A 12,746-nucleotide genomic window follows, 5' to 3' on the forward strand; every position below is an offset into this window, starting at 1 on the left:
AGTCCTAGTTTCTTAGAGAAGGGATATCTAGGAAGACATGTATTCCATCCATCCACCCATCCATCCACCCACCCACCCACTCATCCACTTATTCAGCCACCTACCCACCTATTCACCCACCCACCTACCCATCCATTCATCTATCCACCCACCCACCCACTCATCCACCTATCCACTCTCCTACCCACGTGTCTGTCCATCCATCTACCCATTCAGCCACCCACTGACCTACCTATCCATCAACCCACCCACATATCCACTCACTTAGTCATCCATCCATTCAACCCACCCACCCAACTGTTTATCCATCCCTATCCATCTATTTATCCATCTAATATTTATCAAGACTTTGTACTAGCCTGGGGAGAGTGATGAAAATTGGCACCACCTCTGCCCTCACAAAGCACACCGTTGAGCTGGAGTGAAGACTAAACAAGCAATAACACCTAGAAGGCAAGCACCTGACTGTGGAGGTGGAGAGGCGGCTTGCTGAGGAGGACTTTAGTTGTCAGTCAGCTAGGAGGGTGGGTGACATGACCTTGGGCTCTGTCAGTAGGAAGGGGCAGGTCATATGGGGGCCCTGACCTCAAGCTGTCGTTGGCCTTACAGACCCTGATTCCTAGCCCTGGAGGCCATCCAGAGCATCTCATCCAGGGAGCCGAGAGGTCCTTCCACCACCCCGCTGGGGTCCAGCGCAGCTGGGCCAGGAGAAGGGTGGTACATCACTCCTGCGAGTCGAAGGCGAGACAGTGTGTGAATGGGGCCTGGACTGCCCAATTCCCTCTACCAAAGCAACTAGAACCTTCTTCTGCATTAGGTGATGGGTACCTGCGTGAGCTGTCATTTGAAGACAGGGTTCCAGAGCACAAACAAATTGGAGCCCCTGGTCCTCTCAGCTGGCATCTGTGGATTTGGCCTGCCTGGCGGGCCAGGCCAATCAGAGAAGAGAATGCCCTATTGGGCACAGTGATTGGGGCTCTGGCATGGTCACATGACATGAGACAAGCCAATAAGCATGGATCCTGAGATTCTGCTTGGCGTCTCCTGGGCTGTACTTCCTGCTTTGTGCTGGGATTGGGGCCATGCGGCTGTAAGTCCAGAGCTACTGCAGGCCTCTTGCCACTGTGGGGAACCCAGCCTAGGATGAAGCACAGGAATGGAAACAGCTGAAAGAAGCAAGACACAGGGTCCTGACCACATCTGTTGGAGCCTGGATCCAACCTTGCCTGGATCTGCAACCACTACTGAGCTTTTCATGTACTTGGTGCCAATATATTCCATGTCTCCATTTTTAAAAGTAAATTTGAGTTGGATGTCCTTTTGCAACTAAAACAATCCTGACCTATATATTCTTTGGCATTGTCCCTGTAGAGAAAACTGAGACCCACAGAGGGAAAGTGACTTGCCCAAAGTCATCCAGTGAACTGGTAACAGACCCAGCCAGAAGTCTCCTGCCTGTAGCCAGCACTCACTTCCCACGGTTTCCCATGCTTTAACCTGGACAGTATGGCTTCTGGGAAGCATAAGCCAGGAGGGGGCAAGGAGCCCCCTGCTTGGGCAGGGAAGGGTGAGCCAGTTCTTCCACCCCTGCAGCAGGGGTCCTGTCTCTGCCATGGCGGCACCTGTGGGCAAGGAGGGAGCCAGCACAGTCAGAAATGAGCTCAGTGGTGAAGGCGTCTTCCCACCACTGCAGAACCCAGAGCTCCATATCGGAGGTGTGTCAGTGCCCAGCTTATGCTGAAATTCAGCTATTCATGGAGCCGCAGAGTTCCAGGGGGTCCCTTGGCATCTATGGTAGGTGGACTGGGAGAAGAACGACTACACTTTACGTCTTTTTTTTAAAAAAGTTTTCCTTGAATGGTTTTGCTTGAAAAATAAATAGGGGTTCAATTCTAATACATTGGGCTTGGGTCTACAGCCATTTTACAGAGAGGAAAACTGAGGCTCCATGCAGTCAGAACTTTGCCAAGGACTTCCAAGAGGGCAATACTGGCTCTGGGATTCTGATTTTCTCTCCCCTCCCACAGCCTTGGTGCGCTGGCTCGCCATGTGACAAAGGCAAGACCTCAGGCCCCCTTTGAGCTTCTGTGGGATGAGGTGGTCTCTAGGAGTGCACCAGGCTCACTCTCTGCATCCCCGGCCGCCTCCTGGGTTCTCCTGTCCTCATGGTTACCTTTAATGAAACAAGAAGTCATTTCTGTCTTTACAGAAAGGACAGATGAATCAGAGGGTTGTTCAGCAAAGGGACTAATGCACTTCCCCAGCTGACTTCGTCATTCCTTTGTGCCTTGAATGAAATTCCTCTCCAGTACATGCCTTTCAGAAAAAAAGAGAACATGGTGCAAAGAATCCAGAGAGATGGATTGACCCTGATAATATCAAAGAGTTAATTTCTGAGCTCATTCCTAAGCTGTCAGGGGTCTGGAAGACTTTCTGGAAGCCATAAATAATGCATTTTAATAAGGGGGACTTTGATTCCTCTCTGGGGGCTGAAACTGTATTGTGATTCAGGTGGCAACTTGTCAGGACGCCAACGTGGGGTTTCTCTGGCACTTATTAAGGGATTACATATTTTGGGCATGTGCAGGTCTTCATGGTCTACTGGAAAACCATCCTGCCAAAAATGTTTTTGACCTAAGGAAATGGACTTTTAGTGGAAAACAACCCCCCTCTGTCTCAAGTTCATTGTTTATGAGTTTCACCCTGAATTTGATCGAAAGTGATTTTTTAATTATTTTCACCATTCCTTTGGCGTTGTGGCGGCTGTATGACTCAAAGATGACTCCAGTTTCCCACCTCATGGAGCCCCATGTCTAAGTTCACTGTGGATACTGGAATTCTGGTGTCCTGGGGACTGTAGAAACCCTGTCTTAGACAACCTTCAGGCTGAGTTCTGTCTGGACCAGGTTTAATCTGAAAGAAAACTCGGAAGACCCGGGTTCTAGCCTTTGCCATGAATTTGCTGTGTGATCTTGGGCAAGTCATTTAACATTTCTGGGCCACATCTCCTCCTCTGTGAAATAAGAACCTTAAGTCCAGTGACTCTGTGGATTGATGTTTTTTGAGGTTTGGAGAAGAGGCCGTTTTCTGTCCTATAAAATGGGGATAGTGACACTCTTCTCCACACAAGAGGTGCTTGGTTCCTTTTCAAATCAACAAATATTTGTTGAGTGCCAGCTGTATGTGCCGGATCCTGCTGCAGAAACTGAAGACAGAGACACAAACAAGGCAGACTGAGCTTATAGCTGCCCCCAAAACCATAGGGCTTATGTGCTCATTCCAACATTTGTGTGTTTCTTTATTCTATAAAGGATGAAAAACAAAAATATAGGTAACCTTGGTAGACATTGCTATTTAGCTAACCGATACCCATCTCCCCCTCTTCTCAGTAATAGGGCTCTGATTTTGTTCAGAGCTACCTATGCCCAGGTAAAAACATTTCTCAGCCTCCCTTGCAGCTAGAAGTGGACGTGGGACACAGCTGTAGCCAATGAATTCTAAGCAGATGTTGTTGAGAGAGGCTTCTGGGAAACTCATTTTGTTGTTTGTTCCCTGGCAATTATTTCCCTTTCTGCCTGGGATGTGGATGTGATGGCTGGAACTCTGTAGCTGCCTTATGAGCATGAGAAAGGGGCACACCTGAAATAAGGCAGAGGAGGGTGGAATGGAGCCCAAGTACTTGGGAATAGTGTAGAGTAGGTGTCTAGGTCTGGTCTGTATACCTCCTGGCTTCTAGTTCTATCATGTTTTAAGCCACTGTTATTTAGGTTTTCTATGCTATACAGCCCCGCAGACATGCAATGGCAAACAAAAACTTCAGGGAAAGGCAAAATAAAAATCTAACTAGAAATCAAGTCTGGGAAGGCCGTAGGAATGCACCCACATGGGTCACAGAATTCTGCATAGCTTTACAAGCTGACCTGCAAATTTGGCTTTGAGCCTCCTAGTGGCCAAGTAAAGGAGGAAAGGCCAACATGGATTTCATTCTCATCATCCCCAAAAAGGAGGTGTTGGGCCGGGCACAGTGGCTCATGCCTGTAATCCCAGCATTTTGGGAGGCTGAGGCAGGTGGATCACCCTGGCCCTGGCCAACATGGTGAAACCCTGCGTCTACTAAAAATATAAAATTAGCCGGGCGCAGTGGTGTGCGCCTGTAATCCTAGCTACTTGGGAGGATGAGGCAGGAGAATTGCTTGAAACGAGGAGGCTGAGGCAGGAGAATTGCTTGAACCCAGGAGGAGGAGGTTGCGGTGAGTGGAGATCGCACCACTGCACTCCAGCCTGGGTGACAGAGAGAGACTCCATCTCAAAAAAAAAAAAAAAAAAAAAAAAGGAGGTGTTGAAAATAGAGTTTCAGAGTTTCAGTTTTTCCTAGTACTCAGTCGTGCTACATCACAAACAGAATTTTCCCCAGTGTCTGGGCCCAGTACCCGGCAGAGAGTGGGCCCTGATCAATGTTTGTTAGGTGCTATTGTTGACTCTTCTGTTTATGTGGAATGTAAGTGGCCCCTCAAAACCCCCTTTGGATAAACCAAACTAATCTGAAGTACTTTTGTCATTGTGCATCCTCTATGTGCCCTTCCCACTGCAGGAACCACTTTCAGAGGTAAATTATCAAACTGGGCCTCCTACACCCCAATTCCTGTCCCCGCCAAAGGCATGCAGCCCACTGTCCAAGGCTCTGGGTCTGTCTCCCTCCCACCACCCCTGGCCAGCTTTGTCAGTTACCCCCCTCCTGGGTCTTGAACTCTCTCTCTCTACTGGCTTCTTCACTCAGCCTTTAAACATGTGTGAACAACATGCATCAGAAACATAAAGCCCTCCCTCACTTCCTTTCCCCATCCTGTTTCTTTTTCCCATTCACCACCAAACTTGCTAAATGAGTCCTCTATACTTGCTGCCTCAGCTTCTACGCCTCCCACTTTCTGGATTCATCGCCAAACTCGGAGAGGACTATTTGCAGACCTTATCCTACTTGAACTTCATTCATTCATTCATTATGCAAATCTCACTGACCACTTACTATAGGCCAGGCATCTTCTAGGCATGGGACACAACAATGAACAGAAAAGACACGTGGAGCTGCTTCCAGCTGCTAAATCGCCCAGTATTTACGCTATGGAGAGAAATAACTCAGGGCAGAGGATGCAGAGTGCTGTGGGGAGGCAGGGGTGTCGTATGAGGTAGCTAGGGAAGACCTGTCTTTTCTGCTCATTGTTGGGATGGAGCTTTGCAAAATCTCCAGTGCCCACTGTCAGTGCAAAGTCCTGCAGGTGTAAATATGCTTGGCTTGTTTACAGAATAGTGAGGAGGGCAGCGTGGCTGAAACACAGTAGGGAGAGAGTAGGGGAATATGAAGTTGGAGAGGTGGGGTGGGAGGTGGCAGGTCTTCAGGGTGTTGAAGGTGGTGGTGAGGATTTTCGGGCTTACTCTAAGGGAGGTAGGAGCCACAGGGGTTGTGGGTTGTGGAGCGGAGGAGGAGTGTGACTTGGCTTAGGTTTTGCTAGGCTCCCTCTGGCTGCTGTGGGAGGACTGAGTGCAAGGAGTGAGGGAGGAAGCAGGAGGCTGAAGCTGCTTGAGGGGCTGGTGGTGTTGACTCAGGTGGGAGGTGGTGCTGGTGAGGGCGGCTCTGGATGCACTGTGAAGACAGCACCCAGGGCTCAGCGGTATTCCACGCAGGTACCCAGCCCTCCTTCTGGAAACCCTCTCTGCATTCATCTCCTGCCTTTCTCTGACCACTCCCTCTGCTCCCCGAGTCTCCATCAGGTGTCCACATCCCCAGGGCCCTGTCCTTAGTTCCTTCTCCACCCTCAGCTCCTCCTCCCCTCATCACCTCAGTAGCGCAGTCACCAACACCTGTCTGCTCCTCCCCTCTCCCTCCCTCCCAATTCCCTCACCTCCTTCCCACTCTGGCCTTACATAATCAGCCCCCCCGGCCTCCTCCTTGGCCTCCCTGCCTCCAGTCTCCTCCTGCCAACCTGTCCTGACCCACAGTTCACCCTGTAACTCAGCATCATCCTTTAAAGCCCTCCAGTGTTCCTCACCCCACCACCAGCCTGCAAGGGAAAGTCTGAACTCTGCCACTTGGCACTGAGCCGCCCTCACCCACCTCCAGCTCTGCCAGCAGCCTCACGCATCTACCACTCTCCATTCCTAGGTCGCAGCACTCGCCCCCCACCCCTGTGTCCTCAGCGCACTGCTCTCTTGGCCTGGAATGTTCTTTTGCATCTTGCCCACCTGCAAACTGACTCACCCTTGAAAGAGAATCACTTAGGATGCTTTTGGCTACAATAATCCGTCCACCAAGGACATTCATTTTTATCTTAAAGTAGCCTGGAGATGAGGGGGCAGACGAAGACATCAGGGACCCAGACTTTGCCGTCCTCCCATGCGGCTGCCCCGGTGTGTTGACTTTCCCCTTTGGGATGGTGCTTCATGGCCCCAAAATGGCTGTGAAAGCACCAGACATTGTAAAGCCAAAGCAGGAAGTGGGAGTGCAGGTTACAAAGGGGCTTTCTTTGGATGTGCTTCTCTGTTATCAGGGAGGACATGTTTTCCCAGAAGCCTCCAGCAGACTTCCCCTGATGTCACATGGTCACCCCTTGTCCCATTGCAGACAAATGATTATGGGCGTCATGATTGGCATGGACAATCATCATTTGTTCCCTAGGACTATGCATTTTAGCCCCACAGGAAGGAATGACTGTTGCATTGGACACCAAGCAAGTTTCTTGTGTGAAGCCTGCTCAAAGGCCCCCTCCCCTGTGACATCTTCCCCCTCCCCTGGAGTGTCCCGAGCCTGAACCCAGGGCTTAGCATTTCACAGCCCTTATCTCACAAATGTATCCCTTAGCACTGTCGCCCCCATTTTACAGAGGAGGAAACTGAGGGTCACAGCTGGAAAGGATGGAAGCATACATCGGGGGTCAGAAGGGAGAGGGGACTGCCTGGGGTCTCCCACTGAATTTCTGCTGGAGACAGGTTGGCCAATAGAACCTTCTGCAGTGATGAAAATGTTCCATGCTGCGCTGTTTGATATGGTAGACTAGCCATATGGCCACTGAACACGTGGAATGTAGCTAGTGCAACTGAGGAGTGGGTTTTAAATTTAAACAGCCATATGTGGCTGGCGACCCTGTGTTGGCTGGTGCAATGTTAGAGCCAGTACTGGAACTCTCAGTTCTTCAGTTGTAGCCCAAGGATCCAGACCCCAGGCTGCAGGCAGAAGGTGGCCAGGCAGCAGACAGATAGATGGCTTTAAAACGTGTGAGCGGAGTTTGCCACACCTTGGCCCTGGAGGGGGAGCCCCGACTGGGAACCTGTCACGAGAAATGCAATTATGGTCTTGGAAAGGGCTTGTGCAGGGTTGGGAAATCATTCACCCACCCAGTCATCTACTGGAAATCATTCACCCTGAGAAAGAATGAGAAACAATGCCCTAGCAATTTGTTCTGTTCAGATGCATTTGCCCGTGGAGCCCACTCCACCCAAGTGGCAGGTAGTGGGCCCTAGCCTCCCACCTAAGACTCAAACTAGTCCATCAAGGCCTGGGCTCTGGGAGTTAGGGCAGGGTGGAAGTCGAGAGGCAACATCCAGGCAGCCCCCTTATATTACTGGAGGGGAAACTGAGGCCCAGGTAGGGACATGCCAGTGATAGAGGAGGTAGTACTTTAACCCATATGACATAGGGCTGGACACCTGTCAGAGTCCTCATGTGGCCTCTTCAGCACCCAATCCTGTCCTCACCCCACTATGCAGTGATCATGACATATTGAAGGTGACTATCTTTACCTTAGCTCTACCATGAGCGAGCACTGCTTGGCCTGAACAAGGAGGCACAGTCTCATTTCTTTTGTCAGAGTGATGGAGCCATAGTAAGTGTCTAAGCCAATCACTGCATGAGGACAGTCACCCTGAGGCAAAGCCAACATCCAAAGGGCTGTAGAGGAGAAAGAGTTGTAGAGAGACGAAGTTGGAGCCTTGATCAAACCATGCCTGAAACCATCTACTTTTGGAATGTTCTGTTATGTGATCTAATAAATTCCCCTTACAGTTTGGACTAGTTAAAATGGGTCTTCTGTGACTTGTCACGAAAGGCATCCTTCCTGATGTAATATCTGACATCCATTCTGTCATCTACTCCACAAATTCTCCTAAGATAGTAGCGACTATTCCTAAACTGTAGATGAAGAAGTCCAAAAAGTGACAGAGGTGTACCCCGGGTCACTCAGTCCATCAGGGGAAGAGGAACTGAAAAATTGCAACTGTGCCAGATCCTATCATTTTACTCCATTTTCACAACATGTCTGTGAGTCAGAAATTAGTGCCCTTTTTTACAGACAACAAAGAATACTGAGACTCAGAGATGAGAGGGGAGCTGCCCTACTTTGCATGATATTCCGGCAGGAGTAATGGGACCAGTTATTCTGAGCCCCAGTTTAGAGGGATTAAAGAGCTCTGACAGTCACTTTTTTGCATGAGCTCCAACCAGCCAGTGTGAGTGTGACTGCTTTTAATTCCTTCTCTTGATCTTAAAGGACTTGGATCTAAGAAGCTGGATGGGTGTTCTTCTTTTCTTTTTTCTTTTCTTTTCTTTCTTTCTTTTTTTTTTTTTGAGATGAAATCCCGCTCTGTAGCCCAGGCTGGAGTGCAGTGGCGTGATCTCAGCTCACTGCAACCTCTGCCTCCCAGGTCCAAGTGATTCTCTTGTCTCAGCCTCCTGAGTAGGTGGGATTACATGCGGCCGCCATCAACCCTGGCTAATTTTTTTGTATTTTTAGTAGAGATGGGGTTTCGCCATGTTGGCCTGGCTGGTCTCAAATTGCTTACCTCAGGTGATCTGCCTGCCTCGGCCTCCCAAAGTGCTGGGATTACAGGCATGAGCTGCTGCGCCTGGCTGATGGGTGCTTTTCAATTGCAGCTGGATTTAGGTAGCTGTATCAGCAATTGCCATGTAACAAAACATCCCCCAAATCAGTAACAATAATTAAAAACAAAGTTAGAAAATAACCATCATTTATTGTTTACAAGTTCAAGTCTGCTGGTTGGTTCTTCTCATTGTCTTGAGGAAATGGGAATTCATTGAAGAGATAGTGGGAGAGCACAGAATCACTGGGGTCAGTTCAGAAGGTGGCCAGAAGATCCAGGTTAGCTGATGATGGACAAACTCTCCTCCACTGTGACACCAACTCTGAGTGCACTTCTAAGAATTGCTCACATGTGTGGGCACCAAGAGACACGTAAGCCTGCTTTCTCTGTCTGTAGCGGCTAAATCTGAAGACATCTGCATTAGTTAGCTATTGTTACATGACAAAACAACCCAAAACTTGCTTGCTTAAAACATAAACATTTTTGGGAGGCTGAGGCGGGCGGATCACGAGGTCAGGAGATCCAGACCATCCTGGCTAACACGGTGAAACCCTGTCTCTACTAAAAATACAAAAAAAATAGCTGGGCGTGGTGGCGGATGCCTGTAGTCCCAGCTACTCAGGAGGCTGAGGCAGGAGAATGGCGTGAACCCAGGAGGTGGAGCTTGCACTGAGCTGAGATTGCGCCACTGCACTCCAGCCTGGGCGACAGGGCGAGACTCCTTCTCAAACAAACAAACAAACAAACAAAAACAACCACTTTTGTTATTATGCTTGAATCTGTGGCTCATCTGGGCAGTTCTGTGGTAGTCATACTTTGGAATAACCATACAGCTATTAAAATGAATGAACTTGAGCTACCAAGGTCAGCATAGATAAATCTCAAAAAATACAACACTGAGCCTGACTAAGCAAGGTGCAATTGATACCTCTGTATAAAATGCAAAATCAGTCAAAATAATACTGTGTATAATTCACAGATATATGTCTACAGAGAGCAAAGGGACAGAAAAGTGAGGGGCTCAATCATCACTGAATCTGGCATTATGTTTACAAAAAAGGGACCAGTCTGAAGCGCTCTCTGGGGAGCTGGCAGGGACATGTGGCCTTCCTCCAGCCTTCCTCAGTCTTCTAAAGCCTGTGGGTGGCTCTCTCAAGACCTAGAGTCCTGGGCTGGACATCTGGCCAGCTCAGCCCATATCCATGCCTGCATGGAGCTGCCATAGGGCAGAAAGCAGGGAGCTGGAGCCTTGGACTTCCATGGTGGGAGGGGAGTACCTCTTTCTGCCAAGAGGACCCCTAGAATGGCAAAGGGGAGATTCTGAGAGACATCTGGGGGCTTGAAGAGAGAGATTGGATGCTGCCAGCTAAAAATCACAGCCTTTCCCTTACCTAGATCAAATCCCCCTTTACTCTTCATATGCTCCTCCCTCAGGGCAACTCGGGGGGTCTCCTCCTCTCTGAAGCCCTCTGGGATTTGCATTCTGATTCAGTACCTCCCTCTCTGGGGCTTTTCCAGAGCTTCTTTCCTTCGATTCCTCTCTTAGGGTTTCAAGAAACTTTAGCTGTGCAGCACACATGAAGTCTATTGTAAACAGAGTGTGGAAGAATGTAAGGGCTGAAAGACGATCTGGAGAGAAAGGACAGGTGGATGGAAGGAAGGATAGAAGCAGGCGGGCACCTCCATGAGGCTGAAGAGGCTGTGGCTTCACCCACCTGTATGCGCCCCCCACAGCTGCAGCACCCAGCAGGCCCTCAGTGAATTTTTTTGACTGGCTGGCTATGGAATTCCTTAGGGAAGATGGTGATAACGACAGTTCCCTGGTTTTCCTCCACGTTGACAATGACTGTCAATCAACTTTGTGTCTTTGGACACTTTCCCTGGAGATTGCAGGTCTTGGCTGCAAGGGGCCCCCTCTCCCCAGCAGCTTCCTTCTCTACACACTGCATCTGTCTCCCTCCTCTCACTTTCAGGTGTACTCAGGTCTTCGCTCTGTCCACCCAGTCTTCCCGCTGCCACCCTCGCTGCTCAGGTTGCTTCCCTAGGAGCAGAGCCTGAGACAGGGGTTGGGTGCCTGTGGTTACTGATGGAGAGAAGCAGGTGAGGCGGAGGATGACACCAAGCAAGCATGAGGGTGCAGGAGAAGTCTAGACTCAGCCTGACCTCACGAGGGGTGCTGGGGGGTAAATGGCACCGCGGAGCTGAAGTCCAGTCCTACAGGATATTGTAACAGCTGCAGGCAGCCCTGGGGGTGCGAGTGGGATGATACATAAAGCTTCGTGGTATTTCCAGTGCTTTTGGTGCTTCTCCAGTTAAGCGTGGCTGTGAGTCAATGGTGGAGACCTTGGCAATGGCTGAGGGATGGGTGTACCTCCTGACAAGGGGGATCTGGGCTTGGCACCAACACCACCTGCTGCCTTCACCAGCCCGGCCACTCCCATACTCCTTGGGGACCTGGGCTAGACTTCTGTCCTAGTGCTGTGCATAGCTGGGCCACTAAGTTTCGTGGAGACCCCAATTTGTTTTCAATAGAAAGAGAGCCTTAGATGAGGGGAGAAGCCATTGATGTGAGTCCATTGTGCACCTGGGGCCCACAACCCTGCAGGTCCATGGTCAACGGCTCTTGGCAGTGGAGTCCCTGCTTCCAGAACACGGGCTCTCCAGCTCCCCATGACCCACACTAGCCCATTCCCTTCATTTATGGCAACTGTTGGGCCCCTGTGGACCTCTGAGTTTTCAGCTTCCTCTGGGAGTCTTTGATCTCTAAAGACCCTTGGGCTCAGACATTGTGTTTCTGTGCTTCAAGTGACGATCTCTTTACTGAGCACCTACTGTGCGTGGCACTGCAGCCTGCTGCTTTATGTCCAAAGGTGGCAAGTGACTCTCTGCCTTTGCCTGCACAAAGCTTCCACTTGCTGGGAGCAGGTGGCAGTAACAGAGGTACACAGATTTGGGAAGTTACGTCAAGGAACTATTTATAGAATCTTCCACACCCTGGAGACCCTTGGAGCACAGACCTCTGTCCTGAACCCCAGGCTTCTGTATCCAGTGGCTTCCTTGCATCTTCTTTGGGATGTGCCATGAACACCCCAGACCCAGCACACCCAGGCTGAGCTCAGGAGGGAGGCTGGGGGAACTTGGCTGCGTGGGGTCCACTCCTGCCACAGTGGGCTGTGTGTTTCTGGGCTGCTGGCTCCTCCCCTGACCCCAGGCCTTGTGGAGACTGTGGCCAGATAGTACCCCCAACTCCTGGCCTGTGGTGGCTTAGTGGGGATATGGAAACTGACCCAGGCGAGGCCAGAGAGGAGCCCTCCTAGGAAGGGGAGTGTGTGAGTGACTCGCAGAAGGCCTGGGAGCGGGTGCAGGACCACAGTGGGAAACAGAGGCCCACTTGAACTGGAAGGGCATGGGCTGGGGTGGGGAGGGGAGATATTCAATCAGGGGACTATTTCCAGAGAAAAGGGCACAGTGTCTAGAGCCCATTGTGCAGGACGTCAGGACTCAGGGCTGGTGGCCACAAGGGTACTCCTCCTGGGCCTGAGGAGCCAGGAGAGAGGAAGACAGGAACAGAGAAGAGGGCTGCGAGACGGATGCTCTAGCCAGGGGTTCTCTTCCTCTTCCAGGGACTCTACGCGGAAAATATCTTTCCCTGCTCTGAGCTTTGTGGCATTTCTTAATTCCTCTTTCAGGCCCGTGTCTGTGTGTGTATGTGCATGTATGTGTGTGTGCATGCGCACGTGTGTGCACGCATGTGTGTGTGAGTGTGCATGTGTGTGCATGCATGTGTATGTGCGTGTGCGTGTGCGTGTGTGTGTGCACGCGCCTGGGTGTGCACATGTACACATCGGTGGACTGCCACATGCACGTGTCTACAGGAA

At 50.5% G+C, this 12,746-nt stretch overlaps 1 long non-coding RNA gene across 1 annotated transcript in view, besides 2 other annotated features; it reads left to right on the top strand.

The window, feature by feature from the left end:
* Window positions 1-12,746, top strand: part of LINC00620 (long intergenic non-protein coding RNA 620) — a 95,915-nt gene that overhangs the window by 18,744 nt on the left and 64,425 nt on the right. The window lies entirely within an intron of this gene.
* Window positions 5,634-6,135: an enhancer, noted in NCBI's record as "H3K4me1 hESC enhancer chr3:13716597-13717098 (GRCh37/hg19 assembly coordinates)". NCBI's record gives its function as "activates a minimal SCP1, AML or CMV promoter by ChIP-STARR-seq in primed H9 embryonic stem cells {active_cell/tissue: H9 hESC(primed)}" and the evidence as "EXISTENCE:reporter gene assay evidence [ECO:0000049][PMID:30033119]".
* Window positions 12,108-12,653: an enhancer, noted in NCBI's record as "H3K4me1 hESC enhancer chr3:13723071-13723616 (GRCh37/hg19 assembly coordinates)". NCBI's record gives its function as "activates a minimal SCP1, AML or CMV promoter by ChIP-STARR-seq in naive H9 embryonic stem cells {active_cell/tissue: H9 hESC(naive)}" and the evidence as "EXISTENCE:reporter gene assay evidence [ECO:0000049][PMID:30033119]".

Source organism: Homo sapiens, chromosome 3 (genome assembly GCF_000001405.40).
Source record: "Homo sapiens chromosome 3, GRCh38.p14 Primary Assembly".
NCBI classification, from domain to species: domain Eukaryota; kingdom Metazoa; phylum Chordata; class Mammalia; order Primates; family Hominidae; genus Homo; species Homo sapiens.